We start from the raw sequence: 21,428 nt of genomic DNA, 5'->3' as shown, positions 1-21,428 counted from the left end.
TTATTTCTGCTAGCTGGCTGCAGGAGCGGGTTGTTGGTGATTTTAAGTCCCAGGCATAGAGAAGTCCTTGAGTTATGGGTTAAGGGGCGTCCATCCAGGAGCACAGTTCCCGTTGGGACTCTGTGGGCTCCGCAGATCTTTCTGGATGGATCCTAGGGCACCTCTTGGTGGAGGGAAGGAGCTGAAGCGTTCTAGGTGATGGTGGTACGCCTTGGTCCTCCTCTGCGTGGTCATGGTCAGGGGCACCTGGAGGCGAGTCGGGAACGATGGCCTTCCTGGCCCGTTCAGTTGGGTTCTGCCGTGACCCCAGGAGGTGAGCAGCTGTCAGGGGCTCGGCCTCCCCGGCTTCATCTGGAGTCATCTAGGCCGCCTTAATTTTAGCTTGTCCTCTCTCCTCCAGGGGAGCACCGCCGTCTCCTCAGCCTTATAAGGTGACAAGTAGGGATGGGTCACACATCACTAAGTTTTAGGTGTGCTCTCTTTAGTTCCATGACTTCAGATTTTGCCAAACAAGTCCACCCTGGCTCAACCTAACAAACACCTCATGTTTTTAAGGAATGTCACCAGGCGCTCCCCCACCGGGGGCTCTTCCCATTGGAGAGCCCTGTCGTGCCAGATCATCCGGATTAAACTGTTCGTGATCCTCTTCCAGCTACTCCCTGAGGTGGGGACCGGGACGGCTGCGCTCCCGGCTCTGCCGTTCCCTGGGCCGCGGCCCGGGCGTCCTGAGGGGAGAGCGCGGACCCACCGTGTGGCGAGCACCGCGCCCGGGGCTGGGCTTCGGTGAGCTGCCCGCTGCGCTCTGCCCTCCCTGGTTTACCATTTCGCTCCTAAGAAACTTCATTTTTTAAAATGAGGCTGTTTTAAGAGTCACAGTGGCCGCAAGTCGGCCGGTTCCCGCCCCCGAGTGCGCTCGGCTGCTGCGGACGGTGGGCGAGGAGCCCGGGGCGGGGATCCGCGCCGCCGCCCCCGAGTCCAGTCCCGGGCCCTGAGGACACGGGCGAGCCGGGGAGGAGCGGGGTCGCCGCGGCAGGTCTGAGGAACCAGGCGGGCTGCCCGAGTCGGAGAGGTTTCTTCCGGCGGAGGCGGCGGGGCCGGGCCGAGACTCCGCAGGGACGCGCCCCCGCCGCCGCCGCCGCCGCTCCCCCGCGCGGCCTGAGGAGGCGCCGCCGCCACTGAGGGAATGCGAGCCCGGCCCGGCGCGCGCGGGCAGCAGCGGCCGCTGGGGTGCGCGGGGCACCGCGGCGCCGCGGCGTAGAGCTGTCCAGCCGGCCCCGGCCGCCCGCCCGGCGCTTCCTTCTCAGCTCGCGGCCGCCTCAGCGAGAGCCGCCCGCCAGCACGTGCGCCGCCGCCGCCCGCCTGCGACGCTCGGGAGCAATGCCCGCCGGGGCTCTGCCGCTCGCCCGGGGCCAGCAGGCGGCGGGGGCGCGCGGGGCGCAGCCGGCCGGGCCGGGGCCGCGGGGCGGGCGCTCCCCGTGAGGCGGCGTGAGGTGGCGGCGGCCCAGCCGGGGCCCCGAAGAGGACAGAGCCCGCGGCCGCGCCGAGCGGGGTGAGTGCGTCCGGGCGGCCGCTCCGCAGGCCCGCGGTGAGTCCCGCAGTGCCGGGCGCTGGCCGGGGACCTGGGGATCTGGGCGGCGGCTCCCAGAGAGGCCCCGGCCCGCCCGCCCGCCGAGCCTCCAGCCCGCCGGGGGCTGGAGGAGGGAGCGGAGACCCGGGCAGGGAGGAGGGTGTGGCGTACGGGAGCCCCGCTCGGGAGACCGCCCGAGCCTGGCCTCAGTGAGTCGCCGGCCCTGGATCCGTGCCCGAAACGCTGATTTCCGAATTTCCGTCGGTCGCGACCGCGTGGGGGACCCCCGCCAGGGACAAGTGTCATAGCGGTCGGGGGGCAGGCGTGGGCAGTGCCGGTGCCAGGGCGAGGAAGGGGCTATCGGGAGGAAGCGGAGGTGAGCCCCCGGCCCGCCTTCTCTGCTTCCCGCCTCCAGCTGAACGTCCCCAGGCCCGGGCCGTGGCCTCTGCTTGTCGGGGGCCCAGGGTTGGGGTGTGGCCCGTCTCCATCCTCAGTGCCCCCTTCGTGTGGTAATGGGGTGCCGGCTCTGTCTTCTTCCCACCCCGAATCCTTTCTTATCCGTGGCAGGGCTGATCGGGGGGCCTTGGGGAGAGGGAAAGTTCAGTGTCCCCCGCCCCAGTGTGCACTGCCTCCCCGCAAGAAATCCCAAACGGCCACTCCAGGTGAACATAGTGCGCGCGGTGCAAATGTCATTTCAAGGCAAGTCCTCCAGGCTTGTCCCCTTTCCACCGACTTGCTCCTGCAGAGACATCCTGCACTCCTCTCCCTCCCACTGAAGTGTGGGCTGGGTGCCTCTCCAAACACCCCGGCCTACCTGCCTCCCCCACCCAGAGTCGGGATTCTTCAAAGGAGACCTCACTGGAACATCTGTCTTTGTCCACAACCAGCTCTCTCCCCGGCCTCCACCTGGGAGTGACCAGAGCTGCTAGGATAGACCCCCCACTTCTGGAGGGAAGGCAGTAAGTGCTCCCCTTCATCTGAATCTCCCCTAACATCCATCCCCCAGACTCCTCTCTGCTCTGAACTCCCACTGCCTGCTATCTGTATCTCCTGTGTAACTCTTATCACCGTCTGCCTTATTTTATAGTTACTTTTCCATCTGCCTTATCTCCCCTGCTGGACGGTGAGCTCCCGGGCTGGAGTTGATTCATCTCTGGTCTCCTGCCCTGGTCAGTACCCTGCGTGGAGTCAGTGTCTCCGTGGAGCAGAAGGCCCCTCCAACGCTTGCCTCTGGGACCATAGCTTGTCTGATTCCTGGACTGTTGCTGTTAAATTACTTTCCTTCCATGAAGGGACTGTATTCTGTGGTTGGAATGGACTTCCAGCCCTCTCCCACTGCAGAGAGAAACACAATGAGTTAGGAAGGGCTGTTTTTCTTGTAAGGAGTGGCTTGCCAAGTGAACAGGACAGTACATCCTCTGCCCTGAAGATGGCCAGGCAAAGACTCCAGATTCTCTGGGTAGTGAGTGTTGAATGGGCCATTCTCTCTCCTGGTCTTCCCCAGCTGCTCAGGCGTGGGAGGCAGCAGGGGAGAGAAGTGGACTGCGGGAGTCGAGAGACTGGGGTTCCAGGCCTGGCTTTTCCCATAACTTGCTACAGGAGCTTAACTAAGTCACTTGGTTTCTCTTGGTTTTGGTTGCACCTTATGGAATCTGAAAGAATTCCTCTGCGTATCTAAGGCCCCCTGGGATCTGGGTCCTGTCTACCTTTTCTGCCTCCTCTCCTACCATTTCATTCATACCCTAAGCTGCAGTCCTCTCAGGCTACCTAGAGGCTTTCAAAGGCATGGTGCTCCCATGCCCTCCCTCTCCCCAGGTGCCTTCAACTCTTCACTGGTTGAGACCCAGTCTTGGCCTTCGCAGGTGGAATTGGTCCCTCTTCTGATTTTCGAACCACCCTAGTCTGATTTGCTTGCCACACAGAATGGCCCTTATCTGTTTACACGTGCCCCCCACTAGACTGTGAGCTCCTGGGCGGTTAGTGCTGTATCACGTTTCTCTGCATCCCCAATGCTTTGCTGCACAGTAAGGTACTTAGGAAAATAGTGAGAGGGTTGGCCTAGATCACCACTGAGAGCCCTTCTTGTCCAGAGTTGATTGCTTATACATTCTCTGTTATGGGGACCCGTTGCCTTCCTCCGTGTCTAGAGGCCTGTTTTAACACCAAGCAGATAGATGCTCTCCTAACCAGCCCATCTAGTTAAAGTCTTTCCAACTTGGTCTTCGAGAAGACCAGTCATAGAGGATGTGCAGTTATCTGTAGAGATTAGCAGAGGAAACGTCTGGTACTTTGAGATCACTGCCTTGCTGTTTTTGGAAAAAATGCCAGGGCCGTGTGCTCTTTAATGTAAGCGTAGTGGTATTGCTCCAGTGTCTTTGGCCATGGGCAGGAGGAGCCACTGCTTATGACCGCAGAGTCAATCCAAAATGAGCCATTGTACGCCAGTTCTCAACTTCGCTTAGATGAGATCAATCCCTTTGCAGATAGTCACCCTGAAAGCTGCTTAACAGGACTCCCTGCCTCCAAACACAGATGCGGCTAAGTGGTCTTTGCACAGCTTCTCTGTAGGTCATTTGGTTGATGTTTATTAAGCTTTTACTGGTACCCTGGAATGTTATCAAATAGAGCCATGGCAAATCCTCATCTGGTTTACTCTAAAACCATAATCTGAGGCATTTTCCCCTTTCTAAAGGCTTCTTACAGTGACCCATATTAAAATTTTCTTTTAGAATTTAGGGCCAGGCAAACTTTGCCTTCCCGCAGGAAACTAGGTTGCTTTCTCCTTTGATAATGAAAAGGAAAGTGGGGAAGGAAAACACGTTTTGTTTGTATACTATGCACCATGCAGTGTGCTTGGGCCTCCCTGACACACTGTGCAGGGTAGGTTGTATTCTTCCCCTTTTTCCCAGAGAAAGAAGTTAAGACACACAGAGAGGTCAACTAACTTGCCCAAGTTTCCCTGGATTTGCACTCAGTTCTGCTTCTTTGCCACACTATGTGTGGCTCTTTCTATACCACACTGTCTTTCCAACTGATTATGTTTCTCCTCTTCTCCTTGGCTTCCAGGCTGCTCAGCACACAATGTGATATTCTGTCTAGCAACTATATTACCCTCAACATCAGCATATTTATTGCTGCTTTCCTGAACTGTCTCTTTTTCTGTGTGTGTGTTTATGTATAAATCTCTCTATATATATTCTTTATAAAGTCATCACAAAAGGCTTCTGGAAAACTGTATGGATAAGTGAATTAAATATAGTAAGTAACATTGCTAGCTGGGCGTGGTGGTGTGCGCCTGTAGCTGAGATGGGAGGATCCCTTTAGCCTAGGAGTTTCAGGCTGCAGTGAGTTATGATTGTGCCACTGCACTCCAGCCTGGGCAGCAGAGTGAGAAAAGAAAAAATAAATAAAAATAAAAAGGTAACATTGTACCTAACACACTAACTCACAGTGTGGTTAGGGAGATGAGTCCATGGGGAACAAAGGGTATGTGTGATAAGAGTTGTTGAAGGTAGAGTTCAGAGGAGGAGATGCCCTTTCTGGGTAAGGCAGTCAGGGTTGACTTCCTGAAAGAAGTGGGACTTGAAGGGGGCTTGAAGAATGGGTAGTTTTGATAGTCCACAGCAACTGTAAAGGTGTGTAGGACTTAGAGTCTAAAATCTCTGGTCATCACAATGGCCCTGCAGAACAGGTCTTCTGGTGGGAAAGGAGAGAATTGGTCCAGATATTAAAGTGGGGAACCTGGTGATGCCTTTTTCAAATCCTCTGTATCTTTGATGGAGGGTCCCAGAAGACTGGAGCTGGGAGGGCCTGCACCCTGTTGAGGATGAGAGGCAGAGGCTGGCAGAATAGAAGTGATTTGCACAAGACCTCTCTTCTAGCCTGGAACCCAAGTCCCTGATTACCGGTTTAATGCTCTTTTTTAAAAGTGACAGCCCTGTACATGGGTCCTTGTTTCCTGTGAAATGAGTATGGAGCATTGACCTCCTCACGCCCAACCTAGCAACACCAGGACAAACCTCTGCTAAACATTTATGGTCAAAGACACGACGAGTGCTGTTAGGAGGGGCAGGCTGGCATTTGCTTACTCTTTTTTTTTTTTAAACTTTTATTGTATTTTTTAAAAATTATTATTATTTTTAGATGGAATTTCGCTCTTGTTGCCCAGGCTGCAGTGCAATGATGTGATCTTGGCTCACTGCAACCTCTGCCTCCCAGATTCAAGCGATTCTCCTGCCTCAGCCTCCTGGGTAGCTGGGATTACAGGCGCCCACCACCACACCGGGCTAATTTTTGTATTTTTAGTAGAGATGGGTTTTGCCATGTTGGCCAGGCTGGTCTCGAACTCCTGACCTCCAGTGATCCGCCCACCTTGGCCTCCCAAAGTGCTGGTATTACAGACATGAGCCACCACGCCCAGCTGTTAACTTTTAAGTTCAGGGGTACAAGCACAGGTTTGTTGTGTCGGTAGACTTGTGTCATGAGGGCTTGTTATACAGATCATTTCATCACTCAGGTACTAAACCTAGTACCCATTAGTTATTTTTCCTGATCCTCTCCCTCCTCCCACCCTCCACCCTCCAATAAGTCCCAGTGTGTGTTACCCCCCTCTATGTGTCCGTGTGTTCTCACCTTTAGCTCCCACTTATAAGTAAGAACTTGTGGTGTTTGGTTTTCTGTTCTTTCATTAGTTTGCTAAGAATAATGGCCTCCAGTTTCATCCATGTTCCTGCAAAGGACATGATCTCATTCTTTTTTATGACTGTATAGTATTCTATACTATGTGTATATATACCACATTTTCTTTTCCAGTCTACCATTGATGGGGCATTTAGGTTGATTCCATGTCTTTGCTATTGTGAATAGTGCTGCAATGAACATACGTGTGCCTGTATCTTTATGATAGAACGATATTTTTAGTAGAGACGACGTCTTGCTATGTTGCCCAGACTGGTCTGGAACTCCCAGGTTCAAGCAGTCCTCTTGAGGTGTGAGCCATTGTGGCTGGCCAAATTACTTATATTAACAACTGCCCTTGCTAGAGGACACAAAGGAGATTAACCAACAGGCAGGTTTCCGGTAACAGACAAATCAAAAACCCAAGACAACCTTGGAGAGAGAGCATGGAAAAATCAGTTTCACACTCTCCTTGTTGAAGTTCCCCATTCTTCATAAAGCTTTTCCTTGAGTGCCATTGCCTCTGAAGTCCCTTATCTCTATTGTGGAAAGGGGTCTTATTAAGACCTGGCTAGTCAGAAAGATCAGAGGTCATGATCAGGGACGTCAGCGGGAGTCATGGGTCCAGGGAAAAGGCAGAGTGTTATCAGAGCAGCAGCAGGACCCAAGAGACCTCAAGGCTGATTCCAGCCTTGGAGCAGAAGCTGACAGCTCAAACTCCCTATTGGGTGTGGACATGCCAACCTGCAGCCTTAGGAGCACATGAATGTAGGGTGGAATAGCTCTGTCTGAGGAAAGTATATCCTGACTATGCATACATGTATGCATAGTTATTTGATTCATATTGTTGGCCATAGTTAGGTTCTTCTTTTTTTATTTTTTGTGACAGGGTCTCTCTCTGTCTCCCAGGCTGGAGTGCAGTGGTGCAATCATTGCTCACTGCAGCTTCAAACTCCTGGGCCCAATGATCCTCCTGCCTCAGCCTCCTGAGTAGCTGGGACTACAGACTTGTGCACCACGCTGGCTAACATAGTTATGTTCTATAAAGTCCCTCTTCAAACACTGAGTTAGTGAACACTGAACCACTGCTCCTAGGGAAAACACAGGGTTAGGCTCCTTTGAGCCTGCGGGGACAATATTTTCTTTAACCAATCCATATGTAATCTTATTTTATATATGTTTCTGTTAAAAGAGATCGGGCATGGTGGCTCATGCCTATAATCCCAGCACTTTGGGAGGCCGAGGCGGGTGGATTACCTGAGGTCAGGAGTTCGAGACCAGACTGGCCAACATGGTGAAACCCTGTGTCTACTAAAAATACAAAAATTGGCTGGGCACAGTGGCTCATGCCTGTAATCCTAGCACTTTGGGAGGCCGAGGTGGGCAGATAATGAGGTCAAGAGATCGAGACCATCCTGGCCAACATGGTGAAACCCCATCTCTACTAAAAATACAAAAATTAGCTGGGTTTGGTGGTGTCCATCTGTAATCCCAGCTACTCAGGAGGCTAAGGCAGGAGAATTGCTTGAACCCAGGAGGTGGAGGTTGCAGTGAGCCGAGATCGTGCCCCTGCACTCTGGCCTGGCGACAGAGTGAGACTCTGTCTCAAAACAACAACAAAAAAGACACCCTATTTAATATGTATCATTGATTCATTAACATTAAACTCCTGGCCATCAACACTGTGACTCATGTCTGAATGAAGCTTCTCTAACACAAGAGATTTTCTCTGCACATCATAATCATCTTGCACCCAAGAACTAGACTGCACCTCAGCACTGTGATTGGGGGCCATTCCAAACAGCAAAATCACCAACACAAAGCACACAAGTGCCAAAAATGTGGCACTGCACAGACCACAAAAAGGACACGTGTTTCCATTAGGAGAGCTGAGATGGGAAGATAGAGGATGTCCCCTCGTTCAACCTCAGCAGGGAATGTGCCATCAGGCAACTCAAATTTTTTGCCAATTTGCACAAATTTGAAAATGAATTTGAAAGCACCATGAGCATTGATTTTGGGGTTACAGATAAATTTTAGTGACTAGGGTAATTCACAAATATGGAATCCATGGATAGTGAGGATCTGCCACCTTTGGCATCATGTCAGCCCCCACGGTGTATCCAGCCTAGCTCAGGGCACCTCACAATGCTGATGGTACTTAATGGATGAAGACTGGAGCTGCGGGATGAGGCTGTGGGCAGATTCTTGTGTTTGCTTGTCTTAGGTGCTACAGAAAGACAAGCTGTCCTCCCTCAGCCCTGCTGTAGCTTCTTCTAGAAGGGCTGCTGCCAGCAGAATGGTGCCCATCTCTCTCTGCTCAAGTCTACAGGTAGGAGGGACCCTGTACTTTCATGCAGTGGGTTCTGGCGGCAGCCCTGCAATAGACTTGGCCTTTCTTAGGAGCTGAGACCAATCCTTCTCCCAAAGGAATAATCCTCTTACGGAGGTGTTTCAGGCCAAGATGGGGGGTTCCTGGGGCCCCCATGCCTCAAATTGTGGCCTTCTTATGCCTGGGCTCTCTCAGAGGAAGCTTTCCCAAGTCTTTTGCCTGTTGTGTGCCCTCTTAAGAGTTCGTACGTACGTCATACGGATTATTACTGTTTCTCCTCTGCAGAGCTGTTTATTTCCCCTTTTGAGAGGTGGCTCCTGGGGAGGGCCTGAATTTTCTCTTTTGGCAGCTGGGGGGCTTCCCTTCCAAGTCTGACTCACAGGCTGTGCTGTGGAGCAGGGCTGTGCACTTTGCTTCTGTTGTCCTCCTGGGATTAGAATCAGGCCCTTGGGCTTCCCAGCCCCCTAGGGAGGGCTCACTGGGCACCAGTGTCCTGCATGAGGTGGTGAGCCAGTGGGAGAGCTTGTTATGGGTGCTGCTGGCTCCACCCTCTGCTGTCTCTCTAGACAGCCCCTTGGAGGGAGGGATCGAGGGAGGGGGGAGGGGGATAGGGATGGGTGTGTCAGGGTAGAAATAGGTGGCTATTCCCAGCTTTCATCAGTGGCGTGAGGTTGTCTGAGAGGCAGGGCTTCCCCACAGGTGTGGATGCGTGCTTAACACTGGCTTGGCGACGGTGCTCTGGAGAACAGGAGGACATTCTTCCTCTCACACTGAAGGGCCCATTTAAGTGCTTTCCTTGGTACTTTATAACAGTTGACTTTTCACTTGCTTTTTTTTTTTTTTCATAAGAGGGAGAAAAACTCAACATTTTTTGCAATTAGAATTTTTCCCATGTGGGTAATCACACTGGAAAAAAGCATTTAAATCCTTTGAAAACCACACATAAGTGAGGCTCACGGAGCAGGGGGAACATTCAATCAGCAGGGGTGGCCAGACGTGGAGGCACTTCAGCGGGTTATCGTGTAAGGAAACAATTATTTTACATTTATTTTGGGTTTGCTTGTTGCAGCATATTTCAATTAGTTCATCAGTGTTGTGCATCTGACAGGCCAAACGTTTATTGTGGTTGAACCATCTGGGAGGTGGGAGGCCTGCAGCCTTCCCCATGGCAGTCAGGAACTACTAGTTTAAAGGAAATTTGTTTGATGTGTTTAAGAACCCAACACTAAAACACCATTAATAACAAAATCCTCAAGAATTCTGAAAGCACTCTCACCTATTTCGCCATCAGTTGGGCATGCATCACTCGAGACTTCATTCTTCCCCTAAGCGGGACATTTTCCAATACGCTGAAGCAAAGTTTTGAAGTGGCTTACTTAATTGGTCCAGAGCACGATTTGTATTAACCCAGCAAGGAAAATAGCTCACTAATTTATATTTGAGTGTGAAATAGCTTATGCATTTGCTGCTGGGAGTAGCAAGGGATGCATTTAGCGGATTCTTGCCATTAGTATGCAGCTGAGCTCCTGTCCTGTACTGTGATAGAGAGTATTAGTTTGACTTCAGTTCCCAGCCTTGGGTGACTCACCAGAGCATTGTGAGTTCACGGTAGTGACTGCTGACCGGTGCAATTTGTCGTGCACTCTTTGAATACCAAGATTTTATAGTACCTGATTTCACCCATTTTTCATTTTACTTCAATTATTCCTCCCCACCACACCCCCACTAAAAGTTCTCTTTCCTGAGGAATGTTCTGTCTGACTTTCCAGCAGGGGGGATAAAGGAATTTAGAATCAAACAAATAGGAGAGCCAGAAGGAGCACTGGAAAAAACCGAGTCCAAGGGTTTGACCTTTCCACAAAGGGGAATGACTTTCCATTTCCCTGAAACCCTGAGATCACAGGGCTGGGTGTGGGGTGTTGGCAGTGGAGCGGGATTAAGACTCAAGGACACAGCTAGTGAGCTGGAGGCCGGCTCATAAAATCTGGGACGTGCAGCTCACTCAGGTTTGTCTTGGTGGCCTGGGAGCTGCAGGACTGGTGCTTGCAGGGTTCAGGCCAGTGGCTCCTATACCATACCCAGCCTCGTCGACTCTGTGTTATGGGCTTTTCTGGTGCTTAAGATTCCTGCTCCAGGAGACGGCTGCTCTTCCCTCTCCAGGAGACGGCTGCTCTTCTTTCTCCAGGGAAGCCTCCAAACCAGAGGCATCCCTGGCGTATCCCAGCTGCTTCTCAGGCTGGGGGGATCTTAGCTATTTGTGTTTGAGTTGCTGGTGCCAGGCCCAGTGGCATGGTAGTGATCCAGCGTCTGTGGATTGTTCTTGCAGAGGCAGTGGCTGGAGGTGCAGAGGGGAGGGGCCTTTCCCGCTTACCCACCTTTTGTCTAAGACACCGCAGTGCATGGCATACTTCTGCCCATTGTGCTTCACAGGACTCTCACAAATGTTGCTGTGCCCATTTTACAGGTGAGGAAACTGAGGCTCAGAGAAGTCATGGTATGGCCCTCAGTGCTTTCATTTTTTGTGTCTCACAGATGGGGACCCTAAGACTCAGAGATGTCATGACTTAGGCCTCACCACACAGGGAGTTAACTGCTGGCTGGACTCTAGACCTGATCCCTCATGTTCATGCTTGTGTTTGGTCATGTTCTGTTACACAGCCTGTGCTGTTGTTTTAAAAAATCCATCAGTATTTCCTGATCTAGTTGAGTCTAAGCAGTACAAAGTACCTTTCAATTTGGGTTTGTATGGGGTTTTTTTTTTTCCCTTTTCTTTTTTCCAAGAGGAAAACAGAATTCCTCTTCTGTTTGTTCTGTAGCTTTTCCTTTTCAAAGAGGCCAAAGGGATGCATGGACTTAGAGCAGATTCACCAAGACAGGATTACATGCTCTGGGATCACATCTGTCTATGTGACTTTGAGGCCAAATTTGGACCTACTTGTGAAGTTGTCCAGCCATGCACCTGTAGGCTGGAGGTTAGAGAGCAGGAGTGGGGTCTAGCTAGGCCTCTGGGGTGTGGTCCTGGGGGGTTTAGGAGTCTTACTTGAGAGTCAGTGCCTTTTTCTCCCTTTAAGGGAGAACAACGTTCAGACTGGCTGGGTGACAGCTGGTCAAGCAGATCCCTGTTTATGGCCTCCTTTCTGTTAGGGGGTGGGGCAGGGGATTTTTTTAAAAAGAGCACAGTTCCTAGCGGCTTGTCCTGGAGGAGGGGCCTCGCTCACCTCCAGCCAGAGCCAGCTTAGTCTCCATCTTTCCCTGAGCCTGCTCATTTTTGCTCTTTTCCTTGTTCTCTGACTCATTAAAGAAGGAGCAGGGGCCCAGAGCTGACCTCATGAATAGGGCAACAGGAAGCCAGGTTGGGGAGGAGGAGGCTGGAACTGGTGGCTGTGTCCTCTGGGGGTGCCCACTTTCCTTGCTGTCTCTGGGCTGTTCTGGGCTGAAGGAGCAGAAGGGCCTGTGGCCACTGGGCTAAGAGGATTAAGAGGTGATGCAGGTGGTCCCAGTGTGGGAACCTCTGACTCAGGTCCCCTTAGCAGGAGTTATAGGGCCTGCGTTCCCCGGGGGCCTAAGGGGGCATGTTCAGAGCAGCTGAACCTGGTTCTTGATCTAGATAGAGACACATCCCTTGAACTTCTCAGACCATCTAGAGTCAGACCTGCGTTGCTGTCCTCTTGATTTAGCTCCCAGGACCTGGGTGTCCCAGCCAGCCTGTGGGGTGCCAGGGGACACTGAGTTATCCCTTTTTAGGTTTCCTCAGGTTGCCTAACTTGGTTCTAAATTTGAAAGAGGGATTTAATTAAATCTCTGGATGAAAGAAAACTTGGGGGAGGTGGTCTGTGGGGAAGGGGTGATAATAAGTCATACCTGGAAAAGTAGAAGTGGACTACTTGGCCTCTGGGATGGACAGGGATTCCCCAGAAAGCAAACAATGAGGTCTCAGGGCTGGGCCTCCCTTCTCTCCAGGTGGTGGATTGCCAGTTTATTCCTACTCTCACTATAGTCTTGCCTAGGTGCTTAGAATAACCCAGAAAGATTCTAAGCTTCTGGCCATGTTAAGGCCTCAGATGCAGAGAGAAAATGCAGTAGATTCCAGCAGATGTGGTGTGTGGGAGAGGACAGGAAGGGTCTCTGGAAGCCCAGTGGAAAAAGAGAGGCACCAGGTGAGGCTTTGGACAGAGCAGGAAAGAAGGCAGAGATGTGCAGTTGTCTGTTGTTTTTTTTTTTTTTTGAGAGGTAATCTCTCATTGTCGCCCAGGCTGGAGTGCAGTGGCACGATCTCGCCTCATTGCAAGCTCCGCCTCCCGGGTTCATGCCATTCTTCTGCCTCAGCCTCCTGAGTAGCTGGGACTACAGGCGCCCGCCACCACACCCAGCTAATTTTTTTGTGTTTTTAGTAGAGACAGGGTTTCACTGTGTTAGCCAGGATGGTCTCCATCTCCTGACCTTGTGATCCGCCTGCCTCGGCCTCCCAAAGTGCTGGGATTACAGGTGTGAGCCACCGTGCCTGGCCAACGATTGTCTGTTTTTAAAAACTGAGGTGAATTTACACATGATATGAAATTAACCATTTTAATTATTTATTTATTTATTTTTGAGACAGGATCTCACTCTCTCCCAGGTTGGGGTGCAGTAGCACAATCGTAGCTCACTGCAACCTCAACCTCCTGGGCTCAAGGGATCCTCCTGCCTCAGCCTCCCAAGTAGCTGGGACTACAGGCGTGCATCACAGTGCCTGGCTAATTGCCTAATTTTTTGTAGAGACAGGGTCTTGCTATGTTGCCCAGGCTGGTCTTGAACTCCTGGCTTCAAGTGATCCTCCTGCCTGGGCCTCTCAAAGTGCTGGGATTACAGGTGTGAATCACTGTGCCCAGCCTGTAAAATTAAAATTTAATTTTATAAAATTGAAAGGATTTTTAAAGTATATAATTCAGTGTTATATAGTATATTCACAGCAGTGTGCACTCACTGGCTCTATCGAATTCCAGAACACTTTCATCACTCCAGAAGGAGACCCTACACCCATTGGCAGTCACTCCCCATTCTTCCCTCTCCCAGCCCCCTGGCAACAACTCATCTACTTTCTGTTTCTATTGATTTACCTGTTCTGAACATTTCATATTTATATTAAATGGAATCATATAATGTATGGCCTTTTGTGTCTGGTTTCTTTCACATAACATAGTGTTTTCAAGGTTCAACCATGTTGTATCATGGATCAGTACTTCATTCCTTTTTTTGTGGTAAAATATACATAATATAACATTTACCATTTTAAACATTTTTATTTTTGAAACAGGGTCTCTCTCTGTTGCTTGTGCAGTGACACCAACACAGCTTACTGCAGCCTCGAACTCCTGGGCTCAAGTGATCCTCTTGCCTCAGCCTCCCGAGTAGCTGGGACTACAGGCACGCACCACCATGTCTGGATAATTTTTGTATTTTTTTGCAGAGATGGGGTTTTGCCATGTTGCCCAGGCTGGTCTTGAACTCCTGAGCTCAAGCGATCCACCCACCTCAGCCTCCCAAAGTGTTGGGATTACAGGCGTGAACCATTGCACCGGCCGTCTTTTCTTTTTAAGACTGACTAATGGTTCATTGTAGGCATACACCACATTTTCTTTCTTCATTCATCCATTGATAGACGTTTAGATGTTTCTGGGCTAGTGAAATTTTGACTTTGGTTTGCCTCTGGATGAGGAACAACAAAAGACAACTGAACTAGGAGGGTTTAGGGACCCAGAGACATCAGTTGTCCCATTTCCAAGGTAAGTGACCACTGACAGTTGCATCTTTCTTTTGTTTTGCTTTCTTCTTCTTCTTCTTTTTTTTTTTTTTTGAGACAGAATCTCGCTCTGTCACCCAGGCTGGAGTACAGTGGTGTGATCTTGGCTCACTGCAGCCTCCATCTCCCGGGTTCAAGTGATTCTCCTGCCTCAGCCTCCTGAGTAGCTGGCACTACAGACACGCACCACCACGTCCCGCTAATTTTTGTATTTTTAGTAGAGATGGGGTTTCACTTTGTTGGCCAGGCTGGTCTTAAACTCCTGGCCTCAAGTGATCCGCCTGTCTCGGCCTCCCAAAGTGCTGGGATGATAGGTGTGAGCTACTGCACCCAGCCACGAGAGCACCTTTCTGTGCCTTGGTTCCAATACCCACCTGGTAACAGTAGCAGTGGTCCCTCAAGGCTGCTGTGTGGATTCAGAGAGACTGGCTGGGAGGGTGGCTTTATGAGCTGTCAAGTACACTCATGAGCTGCTGTTGTCCTGGTCAGGCACAGAGCAGGTATTCATCAGTCATGAGTATGAGGGTTGGTAGGGCACAGCCTTCTTCTGCCCACCTCGGCCTTCCATGATCTGGAAGGAGCCAGAGGGGCTCACCTGTGATTCTATCTGCCAGAGGGCCCCCTTTCCTGAAGAGGTTCTGGGGCCAGCTCCAGGAAAAGGTGGCAGGTATGTGTCCTGGCTCTTGGTGGCCTTCAGAATGTGTGCTGACTCCTAACAGATAGTGGTAGGGAAGGCACGAGACACATAGCCTCCTGTAGTTCTGTCCCCTTGGTCCGCCTCTTTGGTGCTCCAGGAAATGAATCCAGGAGGATGACATGGGCAGCCGCCTGGGTGGCTGGCTCAGAGCGGAAAGTCAGTCTGGCATTCACGAAGTCACACTTGCCCTCATTAGGCTAATTAACTTTCGATGTGGAAGTGCTCCATGAGCAAGTGACTTAGGAAATCCATTATCAGGCCAGGGTCAATTTTGTGTGCTGTGGTGCCTATGACGCTGTTCTGTACATTTCCATATTCACCAATTAAGGGGGCTTAATTATTATTATTATTTTTTTTGAGACGGAGTCTCGCTCTATCTGGCCAGAGTGCAGTGGCACAATCTCGGCTCACTGCAATCCCTGCCTCCTGAGTTCAAGCGATTCTTCTGCCTCAGCCTCCTGAATAGCTGGGACTACAGGCGCCTGCCACCATGCCTGGCTAATTTTTTGTATTTTTAGTAGAGACGGGGTTTCACTGCATTAGCCAGGATGGTGTCAATCTCCTGACCTCGTGATCCACCCACCTCAGCCTCCCAAAATGCTGGGATTACAGGTGTGAGCCACCATGCCTGGCCAAGTGCTTAATTATTAACTTAGGGCTGGGTGACTAAGGAGGAGTTGCATTCAACATGCTTTGAGAATTTTAAGGCCATTTGTGAATTAGCTGTAATATGGTAAATAATCATACTCTTAATCTTGTGAGCTGTGTTCTAGATTACATGGAAGATAAGCTGAGGCCGAGGGGTTGATTTATTGAAGGCCACAGGGATTGAGACTGAGGGGGAGTCAGAAAGAACAAGAAGGAGGCCCTTTTCTTTAACACCAAGTTAAATTTCTATTTTTTGTTATTTTTTCTGGTTTTGATAAATGAGTTTAATTTTTTTTTTTTGAGACAGAGTCTCGCTCTGTTGCCCAGGCTGGAGTGCAGTGGTGCGATCTCGGCTCACTGCAAGCTCTGCCTCCTGGGTTCACGCCGTTCTCCTGCCTTAACCTCCCAAGTAGCTGGGACTACAGGTAACTGCCACCACACCTGGCTAATTTTTTGTATTTTTAGTAGAGACAGGGTTTCACCAAGTTAGCCAGGATCTTCTTGATCTCCTGACCTCGTGATCCACCTGCCTCAGCCTCCCAAAAGTGCTGGGATTACAGGGGTGAGCCACTGCGCCTGGCCAAAAAAATTTTAAGTAATGTATGTTCATGGGAAATTAACAAAGATAAATTAAAAAACCAAATAATTAAAAAATGTCCATCAACTGATGAATGGGTAAAGAAAATGTGGTATATACATTCAACAAAATATTATTCAGCCATGAAAAAGAAGGAAATCCCAAAATGGGTAGGGTGGCACGGGCTTGCAGTTGCAGCTACTTGGGAGGATCACTTGAGCTCAGGAGTTTGGGGCTATGGTGTGCTATGATCTCGCCTGTTAATAGCTACTGCACTCCAGCCTGGGCAGCGTAGCGAGACGCCGTCTCTAAAAAACCAAACAAAAAGGGAAATCCTGCCACGTGGAATAACATGGATGAACGTTTAGGACATTATGTTACATGAAATAGAACAGTCACAGAAACGCAAATACTGCATGATCTCACTTATACAAGGTACCTAGAGTAGTCAAATTCATAGACTCAGAGAGTGGAATGGTGGTTGCCAGGTCTGAGGGGAGGAAGCAATGGGGAGTTAGTAATCTACAGGCATAATGTTTTAGTCAAGTGAGATGAATAAGCTCTAGAGATCTGCTATACAACATTGTACTTATAGTCAACAATAACATATTTTACACTTAAGTTTTGTTAAGGGGGGGGGTCATATGTTACTATGGTTATCACAGTAAAATTTTTAAAACGTCAAATGGTTTAAAAATATTTAAAATGAAAGTACATTATTCCTAGCTATAAACATGTTTTATTTTTGCTTTTTTAAAAAAATGGAACCTGAACCTACCTATAGGCTGCAGGTTTGTTCCTGCCACCGGGAAGGATCCCACCTTCACCCTGGACGTCTTTGCTTGACTTCTGCCTTTGTGGTCTCCTAGACTGGGTGTGGCCACATTTAATTCAGCATGTGTAAAGTGCTGGCTGGTGTGGGGCGTTTCCAGCTGACACAGAGTGGGCACTGCGAAAGGCTGCTTTCCATGAGAATGTCTGTCCACATGGTTAGGTTCCCAGGCTAGCCCACCAACAAAACATGATCTATCGTGCAGCTGAATTTCTGAGCTTTCTCCTGCTAGGCCCACCAGCTACAGCACCTGTGCTTGTTGGGGAACTTACTGAATATCAGAGCCTCACTTCATCCCACAACAACCCTCTGTAGTCAGCTCTGTTGTACAGATGAGAAAACTGAGTCCCGCAGAGGCCTTATTTCCTCAAGGTCCCATGGCTAACAGATTCAAATTTAGGCCACCTGGCCCTGAGCTTTATGTTAAAGTGCTGCTTTTGACAGTTCACCACACAACGGGCCTATTTTGGAGTTAAATAGGCTTTTGGAGTTAAGTAGGCTCAAAAGCCTACTTAACCTTGGAATCTAAGCATTTTGTAAAACCTTTTTTTTTTCCCTTGTAAGTGGGAAAACCTGTCCTGGGCGCACCCAAGAAGGAACACTTCATGTTTTCAAGGCTTGAGAGGAGCCTCCCTGCAGCCTGGTTTGAAGGAGGCATTTGTGTGTGCAAGAACGGTTGTGCCTGGAGGGCTTCCTGGCACTGACTCATGCGAAGCCCATTTGTCCAGGACCCTGTGGGTGACACCGCCGCAGACTCTTGCAGGAGGTGTGGAGTGGTGGTTTCCATCACATCACCAATGTCCTGGGTGTGCTCTTACCTGGTCATATGGCTCAGGGGTGGTCACCGGGCTTGGCAGACCCCAGCACTTTGGGAGGCCAAGGTGGGCAGATCGCAAGGTCAGAAGATCGCGACCATCTTGGCTAACATGGTAAAACCCTGTCTCTACTAAAAATACAAAAAATTAGGTGGGCGTGGTGGCACGCGTCTGTAGTCCCAGCTACTTGGGAGACTGAGGCAGGAGAATAGCTTGAACCAGAGGCGGAGGTTGCAGTGAGCCAAGATCACGCCTCTGCACTCCAGCCTGGGCAACAGAGCGAGACTCGATCTAAAAAAAAAATGGATAAAGTAGCTCCTGGTTGGAGATATTCCTTATATTGTTGAAATCTTTGCCTATCCCTCAGTCTCTATGTTTTTCAGAGTAATGAGGCTGGGGCCGGATGCGGTGGCTCACGCCTGTAATCTCAGCACTTGGGAGGCCAAGGTGGGCGTATCACCTGAGGTCAGGAGTTCAAGATTAGTCTGGCCAACATGGATCTGGGGACATAGAGATTTGAGCAAACTTTTTCGTGTACAGTGAGGGAGGAGCGTGTGTGTGTCTGTGTGTGTGTGTGTGTGTGTGTTCATTAATAATTGTGATGCTAAGATTGCCTTCGGTAGTTCATCTGGATATTTTTTCCACATTCCTCATGTTTCTACTTTTTCCTGTATTTTGGATTCTCCATTTGAAGGCAGGGAAAGAGGAGGAGGTTGAAGGGAAAAGTATTCTAGTCCTTTCCAAACATTATCATGGAAGATTTATCAAGGGAGATCGAAACAGTCTCTTCTTCCCACCACCTACTATCATCCCACAGAGTTTAAGAAAATACTCAAATTCTCTCTCTTCCATTGGCATCAGATTCACAGCCCTGCCTGTGGTGGGAAGTGACTTTGGTGCATTGGCTTCATTCCCACAGTGGACATAATTGAGGCTCTGAGTGATCAATGTATTTGTTCAGGGTCACACAGCCAGCAGACACCAGAGCTGGAACTAGAATTGGATTTTCCTGACTCTACAGCCAGCATTCTTCTTTCTGCTGCTCTGTACACAATGGCAGGAATGAAGTAGGCAGATGGCAGGGATTTGCCATGGAGCCATATCTGGGGCTCTTATGGGACTTGCCTCTTCCCTGCCTCTAAAATTTCAGGTTTGGCAAGTATTGGTGAGGATGTGGAGAAATTGAAACCCTCGTGTGTTACTGGTGGGAATGTCAAATGGTTGCAGCTGCTGTGGAAGACAATTTGGTGGTTCCTCAAGTGGTTAAACACAAAATTCCCATATGACATAGTAGTTCCACACCTAGTTCTAGGTCTATACCCAAGAGACTTGAAAGCAGGGACTTGAACAGATACTTGTAGCTTAATGTTCATAGTAGTGCTGTTCTCAGCGGCCAAAAGGTGGAAACAACTCAAGTGTCCAGCAGTTGATGAGTGGATAAACAGAACGTGGTCTGTTCATATGCCATACTGTTTGGTTCCATCAAACAATATGTGTCAGCATTCCATTCCTCTTTATGGCCAAATAATATTTGCCAAGTATTGAATGAACCATGGATGAACCTTGAAAACATTTTAAATGAAAGAAGTCAGACACAAAAGGACAATATTGTATGATTCTACTTATATGAGGTACCTAGAATAGGCAAATACACAGATACAGAAAGTAGAATAGTGTTTATCAGGGGTTGGGGAGGGGAGATGGGGAATGAGTGTTTAGTGAGTACAAAGCTTCTGGTTGGGATAATGAAAATGCTCTGGAAGTGGATAGTGGTGGTGGTTGTACAACATTGTGGATGTCCTTGATGCCACTAAATTTTACACTTATAAATTGTCAAAATGGTAAAAAAAAAAAAAGGGAAAGAAAAGAACAAAAGAATGACAACAAACAAAAATTTCAGGCTTGTAGGGCTGTTCATGAATACTGCTGAGAACCTCCAGTGGCTCTCGGGGCTGGACCACACCTGGCCCTGTGTTTATGGAGCCCTGGCTTTCCCAGACACTGGGAGAGGCGACCCCACACCTGTGGCCCAGCTGAGAGCTCCTTGCTCAGCAGTGTACCCGCCATGCTCTTGGGGGAGTGGAGGTGGGTGTTCCTGGCAGTTAACGGCCATGTCTGGTCACTGCGTATGAATGACATCTGTCTCTGCAACGCTTGTGCACCTGACGTTGGGCATGTCCTTATATGGCTCTCGCTTGCTCTCAGTGAGTGGAAAGATAAATACCTTTTCAAAGAGCAGATGCCAACTGCCTGCGGTCCCTGGCATCCACAGCTGCAGAGCGAGTGGGAGACAGTTCTGTCGAGAGGCAGGTGCTTCAGTCCTGGGGGAATCGGGCACTGGGTGTGCTGAGAACCCAACAGGCCTCATGCAGACAGCCTGAATGTGGAGCAGGGTTCTGCCACGGACATGTTGTGGGATCCTGAGCAGGTCACATGCTTTCTCAGAGCTTCTCTTTCCTTCCTGCCTCTGGTTGGTCCTGAGGTTTAAAGGAGAATGTATGTGAAAGGGCCTAGCACAGTTCCTGGCACCTCCCAGAGCTTGACAGGCACTTGGATTCATCCTTGTGTCTGGCACATGTGATGATCCCTTCCAGTAAGCAGTCACAGTTGGCTGGGGGCTGCTTCTTCCATCAGGACCTAGCACAGACACAGGCTAGGAGCTGCTCTGGAAGGGCAGTGGAAGGTGTGGCTGGCTGGCAGGGTGAGGTTCTGTGACTGGGGCAAGAGTAAGGGTGATGTCCTGGAGGGATTCCAGATGGAACCAGACTCTCCCTCTGCCTCCTGGAGCCTCTGCTCCTAGGGCAAGCATGCAGGGGCTTGTGCACTACCATATCTCTGTGTTAATTCCCTAGGGCTGCCATAACAACCCACCACAACTGGATGGCTTAAAACAATGAAAATGTATTCTCTAACAGTACTGGAAGCCACACATCCAAATTTTGGGTTTCGGCAGTTTGGTTGCTTCTAGAGACCGCAACGAGTATCTGTTCCCGGCCTCCCTCCTAGCTGCTGGTGGTTGCAGGCCATTCTTGGCATTCCTTGACTTGAAGACACATAATTCCAACCTCTGCCTAAGTTGTCACATGGTTGTCTCCCTCTGTGTCTATCTGCCTCTGTGACTTTTCTCTTATAAGGACACCAGTCATTGGATTTAGGGCTCACTCTACTCCAGTGCAACCTCACCTTAACTAATGACATCTGCAGTGACCCTATTTCCAAGTAAAGTCACATTCTGAGTTTCTGACAAGGATATGAGTTTTGGGAGGACATTCTTCAACCCATATAATCTCCATATTTGTTGAATGAATGAATGAATGTGAAAGCCATCCTCACATGTCTGCTCAGGTGTATTGATGTAGAATAGAAGGTGGGGATGTCTCTGGTGCCCTAGGCATGTGAGGGTGGGGTGGGGGACAGCACCAGGATCATCCCCTTTTCCTGTCCAAGCCTCTCCTATTTCTGGCCTCTACACCCTAAGCTTAGCACCCTGGCCACCTCCTGACT

At 49.9% G+C, this 21,428-nt stretch overlaps 1 protein-coding gene across 24 annotated transcripts in view, besides 4 other annotated features; it reads left to right on the top strand.

The window, feature by feature from the left end:
• The first annotated feature begins 453 nt into the window (after positions 1-453).
• The window catches only part of PITPNM2 (phosphatidylinositol transfer protein membrane associated 2), a 168,369-nt gene continuing 147,394 nt past the window's right edge, over positions 454-21,428 (top strand). For 11 of the 24 annotated variants that reach the window (XM_047429206.1, XM_047429208.1, XM_047429215.1 and 8 more), the window contains exon 1: positions 454-664. The gene's annotated coding sequence lies outside the window, so the exon portion shown is untranslated. The other 13 variants (XM_047429216.1, XM_047429210.1, NM_001384661.1 and 10 more) reach the window with 4 other exon arrangements.
• Positions 829-1,028: a silencer, noted in NCBI's record as "silent region_5031". NCBI's record gives its function as "represses an Ori minimal core promoter by ATAC-STARR-seq in GM12878 lymphoblastoid cells {active_cell/tissue: GM12878}" and the evidence as "EXISTENCE:reporter gene assay evidence [ECO:0000049][PMID:35858748]".
• Positions 1,049-1,308: a silencer, noted in NCBI's record as "silent region_5030". NCBI's record gives its function as "represses an Ori minimal core promoter by ATAC-STARR-seq in GM12878 lymphoblastoid cells {active_cell/tissue: GM12878}" and the evidence as "EXISTENCE:reporter gene assay evidence [ECO:0000049][PMID:35858748]".
• Positions 1,329-1,468: a silencer, noted in NCBI's record as "silent region_5029". NCBI's record gives its function as "represses an Ori minimal core promoter by ATAC-STARR-seq in GM12878 lymphoblastoid cells {active_cell/tissue: GM12878}" and the evidence as "EXISTENCE:reporter gene assay evidence [ECO:0000049][PMID:35858748]".
• Positions 1,569-1,658: a silencer, noted in NCBI's record as "silent region_5028". NCBI's record gives its function as "represses an Ori minimal core promoter by ATAC-STARR-seq in GM12878 lymphoblastoid cells {active_cell/tissue: GM12878}" and the evidence as "EXISTENCE:reporter gene assay evidence [ECO:0000049][PMID:35858748]".

This window comes from Homo sapiens, chromosome 12, assembly GCF_000001405.40.
Source record: "Homo sapiens chromosome 12, GRCh38.p14 Primary Assembly".
NCBI lineage: Eukaryota > Metazoa > Chordata > Mammalia > Primates > Hominidae > Homo > Homo sapiens.
This window is presented reverse-complemented; position numbering and strand designations above follow the sequence as displayed.